Raw genomic sequence first — 18,923 nt, 5'->3', positions numbered from 1 at the left:
CGTGAGTCAAGACAGAGGATGGGATGGAAATGTCACCATGGAAAGAAGCGAACTTTAAGATCAGTAATTATTATAACAGCCATCAAAGAGTGGGAATAGAAGCTACGTCCTCAGAGATTCCCAGAAAGAGAGTCAGTGGACAATGATCTTGGTGGTTTGGTCAACTCAAGTCAAGAAGCGTCTACAAATAATCACACACCCTCCCCACTGTGTGCCTGGTGCCCCACGGTGCTTATGTCATGTACTTGTAGAATTCTTGCAACAGTCCCATGAGGTAGGAGTCAAGATTGTCCCCATATTACAGAGGAGAAACTCAGATCCATAGAGGTTAAGTCACTTGCCTCCAGACATTTATCCTCTTTCCAAAACTGGACCCAACTCCTGAGTGTGGCTCCGAAAGAGTGCTTTTCAAATCACCTCTGGCAAAGCACCCGTTTTTGCACCTTAGTTCATCACAGACTGACACTTAATACAATCATAAAGTGAATGACTAGCAAAACGATTAGGCGTTGGAAGGTGCAGAGATGTCAAATAGTTCCCGAAGTTTCTGAGTGTTCTCCGTCTCTATCGCTATCACGTTGTGGTGCAGCAACACACACTGCCCCAGCAGCACAGGCCACACGCACCTGGCGTAGCGCTGTGCCAATCCATCTCACTACACACTCAGGCTCTCAGGATGTAAAGTACTTTTGGGAACCACTTGTCTATATTCCAGCAGCTGAACTGTTCACCTCCATGGGTTCATGACTCTCCTGCCGCGTTTCTGGTTTTCGTGATTTTGGGAGAGGCACCCCGTATTGTACAGGAATGAGATTAATTCGCCCCTCAAGTCCCTTTCAAAACCAAAATGCTAGGATTCCATCTCCTTTTACAGCACCCCAGTTCAGCAGGACGTCTGCAGGGCCAGCTGATTTTGTTCTTGCATTCATTAATAAAAGTAGTGAATGCAACAAGAGCCACCCTTTTCTTTTCTTTGTCTTGTCTGAAAGAGGGCAGGGAGGGAGCAGGAGAGCCCGCAGACGCAGGGGACGTGTCAGACGTGCGACAGGAAGGGCTCAGCGAGGCGAGAGCGAAGCTGTGAGGAAGGAAGGCAGGTGGGCGGAAGGCGGGTAAGGGGGGCCAGGAGGGGGCCGGGTGGCCCCGCAGACAGACACATGGAACCAATCACCCCAGGCAGGGGGTGGGGGTGCACCTGAGAATTACAGAGACACCTGGCCTGCTTTCTGGAGTTGGGGAGGATTGAGAGCTGATGAGGAAGGGGGTTGATGATGGAGCAGGCTGGGCGGGAGGGAAGCACATGGGAGCTCACTCCGGGACCTTATTGTGATATCTGGACTCTTGGTGATTGGAGGGTGGGTACTTCTCATTGTTTGTACAGTCAAGGTCCAGCCAGGGAAGCAGGAGGGAGGGAGTTCGCTAAGTCTTATTCAGAGACTTTAATGAAGGTAATTGGTTACAGAGGTGCTAGAAAAACCTCCTTGGACTGGAGGGGTGACAACAAGAGGTGCTTTTTCAGAGCCCAGGAGCAACGGTCACCCTATTACAATACAATACAATTCCCTACTACAATTGTATTAACAATAACAGTTATTGTATTTAACACTAGTTAAATCTGAATTTCAAATAAATAACAAATAATTGCTAGTATTTTAAGTCAGTATAGAGTGCATTAAATGCCACAGAATTGTATACTTTAAAAAGGTTAAAATGGTAAGATTTATGTTATGTGTACTTTATCATAATCAAAAATGTAATATAAAAATGTATCCAGTTGGACCAGGCACGGTGACTCACGCCTGTAATCCCAGCACTTTGGGAGGCAGAGGCGGGTGGATCTCCTGAGGTTAGGAGTTCGAGACTAGCCTGGCCAACATTGTGAAACCCTGTCTCTACTAAAAATACAAAAAATTAGCCAGGTGTGATGGCACACGCCTGTTGTCCCAGCTACTAGGGAGGCTGAGACAGGAGAATCGCTTGAATCTGGGAAGCAGAGGTTGCAGTGAGCCGAGATCGCTCTACTGCACTCCAGCCTGGGCGACAGAGTGAGACTCCATCTCCAAAAAAAAAGTATCCAGTTTATCTGCAATTCACATTTAACTGGTGGCCTGTATTTTATTTTAAAAATTTAGTACTGTACATCTAGCAGGTACTAGAATGATGGTGGGGGCTGCCCCCAAGGGAGCTGCGGCCACACAGGAGTCAACTGCTGCCCAAGAAGGCAGGAAGTAGAGGGACTGGAGAAGGAGGAATGGCCGGCTTCTCCCCTCCTTCTGGTGGCCCTCCAGTGATTTACCAGTTCCTCCAATCAGCCACAGCTACCTGGAAGCCAGAGGGCAAAGGCACCTCAGAAATGCAGGTGCAAGGAAAGGACTGAAGAGCAAGCATGCAGTCATTTTAGATGACCCAGGAAGGCTTGACCTGCCTGGCTCAATAGCCACAGTTGTATTTTCTCTGCAGGCTGAAATGAAGCTGCAGGTTCAGTGGTGTTATCCCTGAGGTTCTTGTTCTCCCTACCCTGATCCATGGATAAGTAGTTACTGCTTGCTGCCAAGGATGAAGGACATGAACTCATGTGTGGAGCAACTTCTATGTACAAAGCTGCCCACTAGGAATCCAGGAGAAGTGCTTCAGTTGGGAAGTTCAGGATATGGTTCCCCAATGCCCATTCATTTATTCATTTATTCAGCATCTGCTTATGAGATAGGCATGGTCCACGGCAATTGAGTAGATGGTAGTATAGAAGGCAGACACATTCCACATTCTTAACGTACTTATGGATCTAGTCTGTTGGGAAGATTTCAAATGCAATGAGAATTAACTAAAATATAAGATGAAATGGTAAATGTAAGAAGAGTCTAGCAGAGCAGTGATGAGGGTGCACATGACCAAAAGAAAATGGACAGTATAAGTGATGCTCACAGAAGGTAGCTAGTGTCCGGCATGGTGCCAGGTGCTGAGGAACAGCAGGGCAGAACTGGGCATTTGCTCACCTCTCTTTCCAGGAGATCATGATGTTGCCCAAAAGAATCTCCAGATGGCAACTACAAATATCTCTTTACCATCTTGGCTTCTCATAATCCTGCAGGGAGGCCCTTGAAGGGAAGAGAACAGATTTGGTTGCCTAGAGCTCTTGGGTTCATGCCAGGTTCAGCCTCTAGCTCTGGGGGTCCTGGGGCCTCAGTTTCCCATCTGTGAAGTGAGGGGTGGCCTTGATGATCTCTGCCCCCACTCTGTGATTCCTCAGGTTCTGTGATGTCAGTACTTCTGTGTTCCAGATCTGCTTCCCTCTTACTGCTGACAGCTATCCAAGTGGCAGGAGCTACCATCAGTCATTTGTCACTCTGGAGCACCAAGCTCAAAGCTCCAAATGAATGACTGGATGAATGTATACAGGTCACCTTGTGCAGTGACAAAGATTCTTTGCTTGGACAAACTTCAGTTAGGCTTCTGAATCTCCTCTGAGATTCTTTCTTGTAAAATCCAGTTTTAGCAAAGAGCCCTGCTAAATCAGTCTAGCAAGAAGCTCCCTGATCCTTGAGATCTGGACACTGTTTCTAGCTGATCAGGTTCCTCATCCTCTACCATCCCCCAGGTGCTGTCTGATCACCCTGGCCTGTCTTCAGCAAGAATCCTGTTAGCTCTGTTTGGCCAGAATCCCCCTTACCTCTAATGTTTACTCTCAGTAATTTTCCATCCACTGACCCCCACCCTGCTCCTTGGCTACAAATCCCCACTTGCCCAGGTGAGCCCAGTCTCTCTCCCCTGCTGTGAGACCTCATTGCAGTGGTCCCTAAATGTATAGGGATAGTCCTGAGTAAAGTCTTCCTTACTCTGGTTTAGCAAATGTCATTGAATAATGTCTTTAACAGCAGGAATGTCTGAATATTGGACTGTGGCTGTTGCGTCAGGCTGGAAGGGTTGAATCCTGGTTCTGCCACTTACCATCTTGAGCAAAGTTATTTGAACTCTCGGGCGTGTCTGTTCCTTCATTTGTAAAATGGGAATAATAATAGTACCTAATAGATTTATAAGACTGAATAAAATCATGCATGTAAAACTGCTGAGAACTATGTCTATTTGCTATCATTATTTATAAATATCATTATTTATTAATCACCCTTCATAGATTTAGGAGCCAGTAATAAATTCACTCTCACTGCCTATATTTATCGTTTTTTCAATCTGTGGTTTATGAATCACTAGTGGATTATGAAATCACTTTAATAGGTATAATAGTATCCTTGTTTAATGACTACTTATTATAATTATATACAAAAGATAAGCATATGGAAAAAAGAATATAATAGAAATATTAGTGTATCGCATGTAGTAAGCATAAGTATCCTCATGTGAAATTTGATTTTTCAGGATGTATGGTGTATGTGTGGACACGTGTGCACACACATAGTGTAGTTTGCTGGGTTGTGATGTAAAATGTGTTTCTTACCGGGTGTCATAGTCCAAGAAATTTGAAACCACTGCTTTAGGTTAAATCACCATCCCCATAATTCTGCCCTTCATGCTTTTCAACACTCCAGTTCCCCTCTGACCTTCAAGCAAACACCACTTCCCCCTCCTCCACCTCCTCCTCCCCTCCCCTTCCTCTCCTCCCCTTCCTCACACTGTATTCACCCCTTCCTTCATCCTCCCTGCCTCTGAGAATCAAAACTGCCCAGCCTTTCTCTCCCTGGAAGCCCAGCTCCTCCTCCCCCACCCTCCCAGTGTAGGGTGCCAGAAAGGTGCTCTGGGTGCCAGACAAGCTGGGAGCCCGGGAGCTGCCACAGATGCTGGTGGTGCTGGGGCTGGCAGGAAAAGAGCCGGCGACCAAGGGATGCGGTTTGGCATTTTATCATCAGAGCATGCTCCAGGTTATGTACAAAGCAAAGTCAGAGGCCTGGGGTCAATTGTGAGGGAAAGACGTTTCTGAGGGGAGAGAGGGATTAAGCTGGAGGGAGGATGAAGAGGAGAGAAAGAACTGAAAGACTACCTGGAGAGAAGTCCCTGAAACAGGAGGCAAGGAATGTTCTTCAGGAGCCAGCTGGGGAAGAGAAGCAGCCTGGGTGCAGGTGAAGGAAAGACTGGGGAAGGCTGGAAGTGATGTCTGGGGCAAGCAGGGGCTCAGCCCAGCAACACCACTGGCTCAGTCTGCGGAAGATGTTTTCCTGGAGGGCTGTTTTGCCCTGCAAGGCCCTCCTCCTCCTCGCTGAGGGAACTCTCTGGAACCTCGCAAAGTCAGGAACGGTTTGCTCAGGATTAAGCCAACCTAGCTATGGCCACCATCACTGTAGCCAGGGGACCCCTTGGCTTCGTACTTTGCAGCTTCTGCCCTAGCAGTGTCTGGGGGATGCTTGCTTTGCAGGAGAAAGCCCAGTGTCTGAGCGGGGCCTTGCAGACAGCCAGGACCCTCTGTACAGAGCACCCCCTCTGCCCTTCTGTCAGGTTGCGAGCTGGGAAAATGAACAGACCTCTCCACCAGCTCACTGGCCCTCTCCTCACACCCAAACTCCATGACAAAAGGGAAATTTTCTGCATCCTCCAGAGTCTTATCCTTGAAAGTATCTCAGTGTCTTCACACTGGAGTCCTGGGCAGGGTTGGCAGGACTGGGTCCCTGAGAGGCTCTAATGCCTCTGCCCATCTTGGCCTCAGTTCCCTCGAGAGAGCAGATCTGGGCGTCACTTGGCTCTGAGTTCTGTCTGGAATTGGCCATGACGGGCAACAAAGCCACCTCCCTAGTGGGGATTTTGCTTCCTCATCTGTGCAATGAAGGGTTTCTATGGAATGGCATTGACCTTGATGATAAACAGTTCCGTAACAGGTGTTGCAGGGGCCAGACAGGTAAAGGGAACAAATAAACCTTGCTAGGTATAACAACAGGCCGTAGTAGGGATACGGCAAACTGGAGAATCCTTGCTGTGTCTCAAGGGGCAGCTACTACTCCATTCCAGCCAAAGAAGCTGAAAATCTGTGATTTTATGTGAAATCTCCAAAATTGTAAATGTGGACAGGTAATTTCAAAATGTCCAACCATCATGCAGGACAAGCAAAAATGTCTGTGAGTCTGACTCAACCTGTAGGTACCAGTTTTCTACCTTATCCAAGTGGTTCTCAAACGTGAGTGTGCATCAGAACCAGCCAAAAGGGCTTGTTGAAACAGATTGCTGGTGGCCGGGCGCCATGTCTCATGCCTGTAATCTCAGCACTTTGGGAGGCCGAGGCAGATGGATCACTTGAGGTCAGGAGTTCGTGACTAGCTTGGCCAACATGGTGGAACCCTGTCTCTACTAAAAATACAAAATTAGCCAGACGTGGTAGCATGTGCCTGTTATCCCAGCTACTTGAGAGGCTGAGACAGGAGAATCGCTTGAACCCTGGAGGCAGAGGTTGCAGTGAGCCAAGATCACACCATTGCACTCCAGCCTGGGTGACAGAGTGAAACTCTGTCTAAAAACAAAAAAACAAACAGACAAACAAACAAACAAAACCAGATTGCTGGGCCCACCCAGAGTTTCTGCTTGATGGAGTTTCAGCTTCTGATGGAGCTGACCTAGGAAACATACTTTCAGAACCACTGCCTTGTACTATAGGAATACCAACACCACCGCCATGTTATTCCTTACATGCTGCCAAAGCCACTTCTCATGAGGCATTATTGAGATTCTAGGCCCCTATTTTGAAAGAGTGATGATGATGATGACAATAAATGAATGAAGTAGGCACTATAAATAGCACCTTATTTTAGATGAAAATAGCTATTACGTGGTGAATCTGAAGCCAGGTAGACAGACCCCAGAAACCACCTCCCCTGTGCAAGCCTTCTTCTTACACCCTATATCTGTCTTAGTCCATTTGTGCTACTTCAACAAAATATCTGAGGATGGGCAACTTTTACGGAATAGGAATCTATTTCTTGCAGTTTTGGAAGCTGGGAAGTCCAAGATCAAGGTGCTGGCAGATTCAGTGCCTGGTGAGGGCCAAGTTTGTGCTTCCAAGATGGTACCTTGTTGCTGCATCCTCCAAGGGGACAAACGTGATGTCCTCACATGGTGAAAGGGACAAACTTACCCCCTCAAGCCCTTTTACAAGGTACATATGGCAGAGCCCTCATGGCCTAACCATCTCCAAAAGTCCTCACCTCTTAATATTGTTGCACTGGGGATGAAGTTTTAACATGAGTGTTGGAGGGGACACGAACATTGACATGAACATCCTAAGCATAGCACTGTCACATATTCAGATCCTTCAGGTCACACTTTTTTTTTTTTTTGAGATGGAGTTTTTTTGCTCTATTGCCCAGGCTGGAGTGCAATAGCGTGATCTTGGCTCACTGCAACCTCTGCCTTCTTGGTTCAAGAAATTCTCCTGCCTCTACCTCCTGAGTACCTGGGATGGGATTACAGGTACCCACCACCATGCCAGGCTAATTTTTGTATTTTTGGTAGAGATGAGGGCTCACCATGTTGGCCAGGCTGGTCTCAAACTCTTGACCTCAGGTGATCCACCCACCTTGGCCTCCCAAAGTACTAGGATTACAGGCATGAGCCACCTCACCCAGCTGGGTCACGCTTTTTAATGGGTGTATCTTCATAAGTCAAAGCAAATTGTGTGTTAACCAATTATTCATTCATTCAATGAATGTTGAGCTTATGATATAACTGCAGATCCTGCTACAAAAAGGAACATAGCAAGCAAGGCAAATGGGTGGGGAGTGATGGTGGAGGAGGGCTAGGCCATGCTAAGACAGAGTAGTGTGGGGAGAAAAAGTAATAGCTTTTCCTTACCTGCTCCAAGGTTCATGGCTGACTCCCCTATAACAAAGAACGATTAACAAGGGAAAAACTGTACCGATTTAATATGTTTATGTGATACAGGAGTCTTCAGAAGTGAAGACCCAAAGAGAGAAAAAACTGTGTATTTTTATGTTTAGGTTTGATGAAGAATGGACAGTTATGTAAATTATGATTGGACAAAGGTAGTGTGGTCTAATGGTGAGAAAGTGGGGGAAACTTAGCAAGGCCTGTTTGTTTAGATTCTTCTTGGCATCTCTCTGTCTTCATTCCTTTTCTCTGGGTATAGGGCAGGATACCTATCACATGAGGGTCTTATGACCTACTTTCAGGGGTGGTAAGTCAGGGAACTATTTAAAGGCCAGCTCTCACACAGAAAGATGGCAGAGGCTGCGCACGGTGGCTCATTCCTGTAATCCCAGCACTTTGTGAAGCCAAGGCGGGCAGATCATGAGGTCAGAAGTTCGAGACCATCCTGGCCAACATGGTGAAATCCCATCTCTACTAAAAATACAAAAATTAGTCAGGCGTGGTCGTGGGCACCTCTAGTCCCAGCTACTTGGAAGGCTGAGGCAGGATAATCGCCTGGACCTGGGAGGCGGAGGTTGCAGTGAGCCGAGATCGCGCCACTGCGCTCCAACTTGGGTGACAGAGTGAAACTCCATCTCCAAAAAAAAAAAAAGGGAGTGGGAGAAGGTCAGAGAGTGAATTCCAAGGTGCTACATTTGTAGCATGGGGGTGAAGGTGTACAAGGTGTAGCATTTGTAGCTACCCCGTATTTCCCACAAGGGTAGCATGTCCTGCACTCCATCAGTAGCCAAGGAAGGCCTCCCCAAGGAGGTGACATTTGAGCAGAGACCAGTGAAATGAGAAAGTAAGTAAATGAGGGAGAGCAGCAAGTGCAAAGGCTGTGGGGTGAAAACAAATGTGGCATGTTCTAGGACCTGCAAGTAGACCCTCGTGACAGGGAAAGTGAACAGAGAAGAGAGTGCTAGCAGATGAGGTTGGATGACTGGGCAGGTATCTTGAAGGTCATGCCAAGGAGTCTGCATTTTATGCTAGGTGGGATGGGAAGCCATGGGAGAGCTTTGAGCAGGGGAGCGACAGGCTCTGATTAGGTTTGGACTAGGCTCCTTCTGGTTGCAGGGTAGAGACCAGAATCGAGGAAGATCGGAGTGGAAGAAAATGGAGCTGGTGTCTCAGTGAAGACATGCCCAGAGATGCCCAAAGATGCCCAATGGATGAGCTGCTGCAACCTGTCTCAGCCATGGGGGATGGGAGAGGAAAGTGGAGAAAGGACAAAAAAAAAAAAAAACGAGTAGAGAGAAAAGAAGTGAATATGTAATGCAAAAATTAAAATTACCTGATAAGTCAGGACATGGGAAGTTCTGCCTCCCTAATGGGGACCCAGGAAGATGTAGGAAGAGAAGTAAAGCCACTTTCTAAGGACATGGAGAAATTCAGAACACCAAGCCGCCCAGGTTTCCTGGCTCCCAGTCTTGGCACACAGTGCTCCACCTTGCTGGGTAATTCAGGTATGAATCTGCAGAAAGATGGTTTTAGCTCACAGGGCGCTCTTCTATTAAGCTTATCTAAAATGCTTAAATTTAAAAATTTTCCCATTAGGAGGCATGGAAATATTTGAAAACTAAATTGTGGTGATGGTTGCACAAATGTATCAATTTATTATACGAAAAGTCAGCCAGGCACAAGGGCTCATGTCTGTAATCCTAGCACTTTGTTTTTTGTTCGTTTGTTTGTTTGTTTGTTTGTTTGAAATGGAGTCTCACTCTGCTGCCCAGGCTAGAGTGCAGTGGCATAATCTCAGCTCACTGCAACCTCCACCTCCTGGGGCAAGCCATTCTCCTTCCTCAGCCTCCTGAGTAGCTGGGACTGCAGGCACGTGCCACCACCCCCAGCTAATTTTTGTATTTTTAGTAGAGACAGGGTTTTGTCATGTTGGCCAGGCTGGTCTCAAACTCCTGACTTCATGATCCGCCCGCCTTGGCCTCCCAAAGCTCTGGAATTGCAGGCGCGAGCCCTGGCGCCCAGCCAATCCCAGCACTTTGGGGTCACTTGAGGCCAGGAGTTTGAGACCAGCCTTGGCAACATAGTGAGATGCTGTCTACAAAAAAAAAAATTAAAAATTAGCCAGGCGTGGAGGTATGAGCCTATAGTCCCAGCTACTCAGGAGGCTGAGTGGAAGGATCACTGGAGTCCAGGAGTTTGATGCTGCAGTGAGCTATGATTGCATCACTGCACTCCAGCCTGGGTGACAGAGTGAGACGCTGTCTCAAAAATAAATAAATAAATAATCAAAGTCATCAAACTGAATACTCCCTAAGGGTGAATGTAATGGTATGTAAGTCCACCTCCATAAAGTTATTCTAAAAAGAAAAAGCATTTGCTTATAAGGGAATCGTTCTTTGAACCTCGAGCCTGTAAGAGTTTGCCTATCATTAAAGAGAAGTAGAAAGAAAGAAACTAAGGTGTTAACAACGGAATCATTGGCAATTTCAACATTTTCTTCTTTGCTTATCTATATTTTCTCATTTTTCTACCATGGACATATATTATTTGCCTAATGAAAAGGAGGCATCAAATCTTATAAATCATTGGCACTGTGATGCTACAGATTACTTTCTGCCTTTTCATGGACTATTTCATTCCTGTTTTTCCACTGTGAATATTTAATTTAGCTCAAAAATTCCACAACTATTTATGGAATGCTTATTTTGTGCCAAGCACTGTCCTAGGCACGGCAGGAAATGGAAAAATTAATAAGACATGATCAGATCTCTTCTGTCCTGTTGGAGAGACAGATATCCACACAAAGAATTGTACTGCCAGATGGTGTGGATTACAGGCGCAGAGACGGAAGTAGAAGGTGCAAGGGGAGTTCAGTTAATTAATTAGTCAGCAAAACTGCTTTTTAAAGGAATCCCTGTTACTATTGCAAACACTTGTGCAGAATTAATCCCTCTGGCCTTACAAGCTTGCCAGATCTCTGGTGGCCTGAGCTATGTGGGTAGGTGGGACTTTTTTGGTAAAGAGCTAATGGTTACTGGGCATTCACTATGTGATGGGCATTGTGGTTTACATTCATTTAACCTTCACAACTGCCCGAGGCTAATTTAGTGCTTAATCGTAAGGAGGGGAGTACAGAATACTGGTTAGAAGACCAGTCTCTGCAGCCAAGCCACCTGGATTCCAATGCAGTTCTACTGCTCACTAGTTATATAACCTCCAACAAGTTTCTTAACCTCTCTGTGCCCCAATTTCTTTATCCATAAAATGGGGATAATAATAGTACACACCTTGTAGGATTTGTGGCCAGAACTGAACACATCATTACACACTCACAGTCCCTGACAAACAGAAAGCTCTCTAGGATGTTACTATCTTATATTTACATTCCACCAAATACATATTCATGCTACTTTGCATTTCCTTTTTCATGTACTGCTTCCATTATTTTTCCTAAAAAGCCAATTATGACAATGATTCAGCACACATTTTTGATCGCCCACTATGTACCTGATACTGTTTGCCTGCTGGGAAAGCAAAGATAAATAGCCATGACTCCACCCTGAGGGTGCTCGTAGGTTAGTGCAGGAGAGAAGCACAAACACAAATAACACGACAGAGCTGGTAATTAGGAACAGTGGTTGCCTAAGTTGCCCTAAAGTCCCAGAAAACGTTTCTCTCTCTCTGTCTGTCTCTCGTTGTTAAAATGTGTTTCCCATTATCCTGTTTATAGTATTTGCTCGCAAAGGAAACCGGAAACTAACATTCTCTGGAAGTCTGCCATGCGCCTGACATAGTGTGATCATCCATAAGAGCAGAAGTTTCCCCATGTGCCAGGCACCCTGCTGAGCACTGGCTACACATTATCTCCTTTATTCCTATAAATGAAGTACAGTTATTATTATCCTCATTTTACGTATAAGGAAACTGAGGTCTTTCTCTCAGAAGTCAAATAATTCCCCCTAGGTTATACCACCAAGAAATTACAAAGCCAAGGTTCAAACCCAAGCCCGTCTTCTCAACAAAATGCCATACCTCCTCCCAATGTAAAATTCTATATGCCATCTAATTTAATTCTCACAATAACTCTTTGAGATAGATGGTATTATGCCCACTTTTATGCCTGAGGAAACTGGGATTTGAAAAATTAAATTATTACCCCAAGGTCAAAGAGTTAGTAAGTGACAGGCCCAGCTGCCTCCAAAGCTGTAGTCTTTGCCTAGATAATGCAAAGACTCCTGTTGCCTCCTGCACAGGGTGAAGTTGAATTTTCACCCAGGCCTGGGAAAAAGCCCCCTGGATTGGGATAGAGGAGAGGAGAATTCCAGTCTTGACTCTGCCACTTATTAGCACATGGCCTTGGACAAATTTCTTTCCCTTTCGGGGTGTTGGGGTATATCTATCAAAAGATAATTTGGGGCTAGACACGGTGGCTTACACCTGTAATTCCAGCATTTTGAGAGGTCGAGGTGGGTGAATCACTTGAGGCCAGGAGTTCGAGACCAGCCTGGCCAACATGGTGAAACCTTATCTCTACTAAAAACATAAAAAAATTAGCTGGGCATGGAGGTGGGCGCCTTTAATCCCAGCTACTCAGGAGGTTGAGGCACGAGAATTGCTTGAACCTGGGAGGCAGAGGCTGCAGTGAGCCGAGATCGCATCACTGCATTCCAGCCTGGGCAACAGAATGAGACTCGGCCTCAAAAAATAAAAATAAAAATAAAGTCTTTAATAAGATAATTTGGGTGTCACCCTTCCCAAAAGTCTCCAAAGAGATGTCATAAACAATAGGCTGAGACCAGGCTCTGCTGGAGTAAACCTAGGGGGGAGCCTGGTGTGATGCCCATGGAGGGAAAAGGGAGGAGGCTCCAAAGATAACACCCTCACAACTGTGTTCCAGCCACCTCTGATGGGAGAAGCTCTTCAGTCTTCCATCTGCCAGAGGCTAAGCTGCAGGAGGGCAAGTATATGACTTTTTTTTTCTTTCTTTCTTTCTTTCTTTCTTTTTTTTTTTTTTTTGAGTGGGAGTCTCACTCTGTCACCCAGGCTGGAGTGCAGTGGCATGATCTCAGCTCACTGCAACCTCTGCCTCCTGGGTTCAAGCGATTCTCCTACCTCAGCCTCCCAAATAGCTGGGATTACAGGCACCCACCACCACACCTGGCTAATTTTTGTATTTTTAGTGGAGTCGGGGTTTCACCATATTGGTCAGGCTGGTCTCAAACTCCTGACCTCATGATCCACCCACCTCAGCCTCCCAAAGTGCTGGGATTACAGGTGTGAGCCACCGCACCCAGCAGTATGTGACTTCTTTGACACTGACTTAGACATTCTATTTTATCTTTGTCATCATCAGCAAACATACATGGAATGCCATGGATCAGGTTCTAGGGTTATAAACAGTCCCTGTCTTATTGAAGAGAAAGGGCACACACTTGACGAAGGAAATAGGAAAGTACGAAAGAATAGGCCAAGGCAATGAATGCCCATGAGGGCTTAGATAAGGAAGCAGGGCTGGGAGAAAATGGGAAAGACTTTGTAAATCAGGATAAAATTGCCCTGGGTGGGGACATGAAAAAAAGTAAGAAGGAGAAATGAGGGCATTTTGGCTTAAGGTATCTCTGGGAGGCAAAAATGGATATTGGATAGTTGGAGGCTCATTAGTAGACCAATTACCTGTAGTGGAGGGCTTGCAAGATGAGCTGAAAAGCTAGAGTTCATCCATGGAAGATGAAATGTGTGAATTAAGAAAACAGCTTTAATCCCTTTACCAGTAGGCACCCTCAAAAACTTGTAACCAGGAGAGTGATGTGATTGCAATGGGGTTTCACAATATTACCCAACGCCAAGTATAACAAACAGGTTAAAGTGAGGCAAAAGATAAACAGTCAAGGAAAATATGATGAGGATAAGAAAAGGCTAGTGGATTTGGAAAATGAGGTGGCAGTGATGATCTTGCCATGGCACTACCAGAGTGACCTGGATGGAAACCAGGTCACAAAGGAAGGAGGAATGGGTAGGTCATGCCAAGGTGAAGAGCCTTCACAATTCCAGGGAGATGCTTCTGAGGGGAGGGAAGGTCGGTAGGTTATGGAACAGGTTCAAGGAAAGGTGTATTTTCCTTCCCAACAGGTTAAAGACAGAAAGAAACATGCCAGTAGAGAAAAGAAATAAAGGCGATTAAAAAAAAAAAAAAAAAGCTGAGTGGTGGGGAGAGTGGTTAAGCAAGACCCTACAAAGTTTTAAGGTTTGGATACAGAGGCACATGAGTAAGGCTATACAGCTCTCCCCATAAACTCAACCAGCCTTATGTCCCCACAAAATAGGATATGAGGTTATTGGCTATGAGAGATAGAGATGGAAGAGAGATGGTGTTTTGGTTTGGGTATCCCAAAACAGACTCCAGGATGAGGATTTGGGACAATTAGTTTACGTGGGAATTGATTCCAGAAGCAACCGTAAGGGAGTGGAGAGATGAGATGGAAGGGAAGGTGCTCAGCAAAGGATGCCCTCTCAGGCCAGTGTCTGCCATGGTGTCTGCAGCTTTGTCCAGTGGAGAACTCCAGAAACCAGCACAGAACACACCTCTCAAAAGTATCCTTCTAGAAAGGTGAGAAAGCCGGCTCATTGATCCGCCAGCTCCCACCAGTGTTTGGTTTGGGGGTGCTTCTAAGGGTCACATTAGGGGGCAGTGCCATGGACACAGCCGCTCTGGCAGCCAGGCGCAGGTGGTTGGAAGCATGCCTGGACAGAGCACAAGCTGAGAAGGTATGGATCCAGCTTGAGAGCATCTGCTAGAGATGGGAAGTTGGGTTAAAAAATGTTCGCAATAGACAAGCTGAGGTGTGTAATAATGGTTCTTCAGGGATACGTAAAAGGGGTCCTTAGCAACAGTGAGAGTCAGCTTAGATTAAAGGGCATGATTTGTAACAACAAAACAGAGCAAAACTTAGGACCCAATCAGATTCCAGAACCACTTTGCCATCTGAGAGACGAGTCCAGGGAATGGCAGATTCCACGTGCGGATGATCAAGATGAGCTATGATTAAGCATGGGCAAAAAAGAGCAAAGCAGGAAGTCAGGGGATGAAAACGTCCCAATGGCTGGAGACCCAACAATGGGCTGGTTGTTGTGGCATTTGGACACATTATGGAGGTATCAAAGCAACACCACCATGGACCTATAGACCTGGAATTGGAAGATTATTGGTTCCAGTGGCCTCATTCAACTATGAAAGAGCTGAGAGGAACAGAGAGGGAAAGTGACTTGGACAATGTGGCATGGCTAGTGAATTTCAGTTCCAGTATTTATACTCCATGTGCCCCACCATTGCCTTGGGCTGCTTTATCTTGGGGCACATCCCAAGGATCATGAAAGGTTGACTCAAGGGAGGGAAGCAGGTAAAGAGGGTAAAGAGGGTGCAATCAGAGCATGACTGAAGCTGACACAGCTGCCTGGTGGGCTCTGATGCAAAGTTACAGCCTTAAGTAGCAGTTGATGGTATGGCTGCGCCTTTAGGGTAGCAGTGCATCCAGTACTCAGAGAGGAGAGGGGGCAGTCTGGTGGGAAGATCATCCTGTGGATGTATCTCGAAGCTATGTTTGCTAAGAAGACAATTGTCTTATCTTCGATTTTGGGAGAATTCACTTAGGGAAGGTATTGATGGAGATTATAGGGAGTGAGCTAGAGCCCACTCCTGAATTGCAACAAACATCCCTTTGTGGTGCTTTCAGGGATCCAAACAATAGACGGATCATTGATACGGATGTCCAGAAGAATAGCGTGTAGAGGAAATGTTTGGTTTCAGTAGTTTAGCCCTAAGGAGTGAGGAATTTGTTTGGTTAGACATACTGAAGATAAAAACTATACTTCTGAGAATAAGCCTAAAGCCTGTGAGTCTCGAAAGCCAATCTTCTGAGCTTCACTGAACCCCAGAACCCCATGTGCCCCTTTTCCCCATTTCCCACATTGGTAAGACATCGTGAGGGGTAGACGCTCACTCTCTGATGGTTTGTCACTTGCCTGGGGCTGGGGCAGAGTTTAGGGATGGGGTAGAGTGAGGCATTGCCCATGTGGGATCATGCTCAGAAATGGTATATCAATTCAATGTTGTCTCTATGAACCAGTCCTCTACAACCAGGACTGAGGCTCTGTTGGTCTCCTGCCTATAGCCTCTGTGATATTTGTGGAGTGAGCATGCCATTAACCCAAGTTAATGGCTATTGCAACTTATTTTTATGGTATGCGTATCTTTACCAAAATAAACAACAACCAAGAAAAGGCATTTAGTTGATGGTAGACGAACAATAATACAGAATTGGGACCACAGAGGAGCCATAAGCTGGCTGCCCTCCTGTCTCAGGGGACGGGGAGGTGAAGTTTTCCAAGGAAGAACAGCTCCTGGTGCACAGGTATTCGGGGTAAGCGGAAGGATAGATGGGCCTGAGCGTGCATGGGAAAGGAACCAGCTGCAGGAGAGTCTTTGCTTAGAAAAAAAAGAAACAAATGAAACCTCAAGATGTCAGCAATGGAAGGGATTAGAGAGAATGGGGGAAAACCATGGGAGGGAGCAGTGGGAAGGGGCTCAGTTGGACGAGATATGCATTGGGGTGGAGCTGGCATGGGGGATGTTACCAAGAGAGTGAGTGAGTGAGTTTATTTATTTATTTATTTATTTATTTATTTATTTGAGATAGAGCCTCACTCTGTCACCCAGGCTGTAATGCAGTGGCGCGATCTCGGCTCACTGCAACCTCTGCCTCCCAGGCTCAAATGACTCTCCTCTCTCAGCCTCCCAAGCAGCTGGGATTACAGGCGCGTGCCACCACGCCTGGCTAATTTTTGTATTTTTAGTAGAGACAGGGTTTCACCACGTTGGCCAAGCCAGTCTTGAACTCCTGACTGCAAGTGATCTGCCCGCCTCAGCCTCCCAAAGTGCTGGGATTACAGGAGTGAGCCACTATGCCTTGCCAGGAGATTATTATTTTTTAAGCAAATAGTTTAGAGAAGGCATTGAGACCTAATTCTCATTTTAAGTATCGTCTCTGCTGTGCTCCGCAGTACGTGGCCATAAGAAACCCGTGACACCCTCCCCTGGAACTGTACCCACGTCCCACACGGACAGATGCTTCACTCCTCCACTTCTTGGCAGTACTTCCTACAGCCCCTGGGTGAACTTCTCCAGCTGGCTGTGATCGACCTCCAGAGGGCATGACCGTGGCTGAGACTCAGCTTTTCATGTTCCCAGCTCTGGCTTAGGGAGTCACCCCAAGGAAGCAGCAGATTAAGGAGAAATGTGGACGCATCCTTCCTGAGTGTTGGTTCCCCCAGAGAGATGACAGACCCCATGGCCAGCACTTCAACATATATTGAGCTGTGGGAATTAGAATCTAGGACAATTTGGGAGAAAAAAGGCTTTTGTCTTTAAGGCGTTTACAGCTTAAGGAGAGGATATCATATTCCATAGCTGTGACAAATCAAAAAATTAAAAGTAGTCTTTCCAAGGATGGTTTCAGTAGTTTAGCCCTAAGGAGTGAGGAATTTGTTTGGTTAGACATACTGAAGATGGAGACTATACTTCTGAGAATAAGCCTAAAGACTGTGAGTCTCGAAAGCCAATTTACACACCACGCAGAAAACTGACGGGTCTCAGGAAAACTAAAATGAGGAAAGCCAGCAGAGGCCCAGGCAGACGTCAAATTAATCTCTAGAAACAGAGGACAATCTGCTTTGGCTTGGCAAAAATTAAAATAGAACTTAGTTGAGCTTCAGTGTGAATGGAGGTGGGGAGAGTTCCTTCCTTTCTGTTGATGGGATGTAAAACCCTCACTAGCCAACAAGCTCCCCCAGGAAAGACAATGCCACATGCCTTCATTGCCCTGGTGAGTTGTGGGATGTCTGTCCCTCAGCAGGGTCTCAGTTACTGTGTGTTGAATGAATGATGGATCCAATAGAAGAAAAAAGAAGTGAAAAGAATGACTGGATAAAGCCCCATTCCAGCCCATGTTCCCCTGATAACAGTAATAAAATGAAGGACAGACTGGACTGAATTATTACGGTACTTTAACTTTGTTTAACTTTGTGAAAACACTATGTTTAGCTAGGATAATGGGAGTACTTGGACTGGTAATAAACAAATAAATGAGCAAAGCAATAATGTCTTACATTTGAAGTTATTTACAGCTTACAAAGCTATTACACACACATTTTTTCCATAAGAGCCTGTAAACCACCCTGTGGCACAGGCATGACAAATATTACTTTCCCCTTTTGAAGAACAATGAAACTGCAATTTAAATAACTTAAATAACTACAATCACAGTGCTCAGGGTGGCAGAGGACAGATTTAAACCCAGGGCTGAGTCCAAACACTCTTCCCGACCTGTGGTTCTGGCTCTCACGGGGGCCTACACTCTGGAAAAAATAATTCCACTCCTGTGTTCAGCCTGGTCCACTCCTCGCAGAATCTTCTTTTTCAATCTAGGTATCCGGGAATAACATTTGGTCCTGTTTTGTGTGAGTTTTAAATTTTGTGCAAATTATGCAATTAAATTACAAAACATGTAACACAAGCCTTCGTGTCTTCTCCCACAAACAAAAACATCCACTTATCACATCTCTGTGAATATCAGAAATTCCCCCGATTTTCCCTTTGGGCCTTCTCATGTTGTGTCTGGTCATTTACTTGCTCATTTCCCCAGACACTGGGCTTCCTTTTTTGAATTTAAACATTTTGTTATGCCATTTGTTGCTGCACTCACTTCAAATCTCTATTCTATGCTACTTTACCCCAGGGCCCTGGAGTGACTTTCTTTGAAGCTGGTGTCCACTCACTCTTTCTCTCCAGAGCTTTGGCCAGCTAGCCCCAGAAATCTTCCAGTGGCCCATCAGAGAGCAAGCTGGCAGAGCTGTCACTCCCGCCATGGAAGTCAGGTAAGGTCCCCAGGGACTGTTAGTGCACACATCTCATGAGACAGCTTTGCTAACCTGTCACTTTCTACTCTATGGAGATGGACTTTTTCTTTGTCTGTCCTCATTTTCTTTCTTTTTAATTGACTGCCTCATTTCCCAGGGGGATTTTATAACCGTCACACTGCACCATCTTCATTACT

At 45.9% G+C, this 18,923-nt stretch overlaps 1 long non-coding RNA gene across 1 annotated transcript, besides 1 other annotated feature; it reads left to right on the top strand.

Moving 5' to 3' along the window:
* The first annotated feature begins 1,017 nt into the window (after nucleotides 1-1,017).
* Nucleotides 1,018-17,963, top strand: LINC01280 (long intergenic non-protein coding RNA 1280). Its single transcript, NR_110392.1, has 4 exons — nucleotides 1,018-1,094; nucleotides 8,932-9,320; nucleotides 12,713-12,772; nucleotides 16,873-17,963. It is a non-coding gene; the product is annotated as a long intergenic non-protein coding RNA 1280 (long non-coding RNA).
* Nucleotides 4,282-5,003: an enhancer, noted in NCBI's record as "H3K4me1 hESC enhancer chr2:217467676-217468397 (GRCh37/hg19 assembly coordinates)". NCBI's record gives its function as "activates a minimal SCP1, AML or CMV promoter by ChIP-STARR-seq in primed H9 embryonic stem cells {active_cell/tissue: H9 hESC(primed)}" and the evidence as "EXISTENCE:reporter gene assay evidence [ECO:0000049][PMID:30033119]".
* Nucleotides 17,964-18,923: the final 960 nt, after the last annotated feature.

This window comes from Homo sapiens, chromosome 2 (assembly GCF_000001405.40).
Source record: "Homo sapiens chromosome 2, GRCh38.p14 Primary Assembly".
Classification (NCBI taxonomy): domain Eukaryota; kingdom Metazoa; phylum Chordata; class Mammalia; order Primates; family Hominidae; genus Homo; species Homo sapiens.
This window is presented reverse-complemented; position numbering and strand designations above follow the sequence as displayed.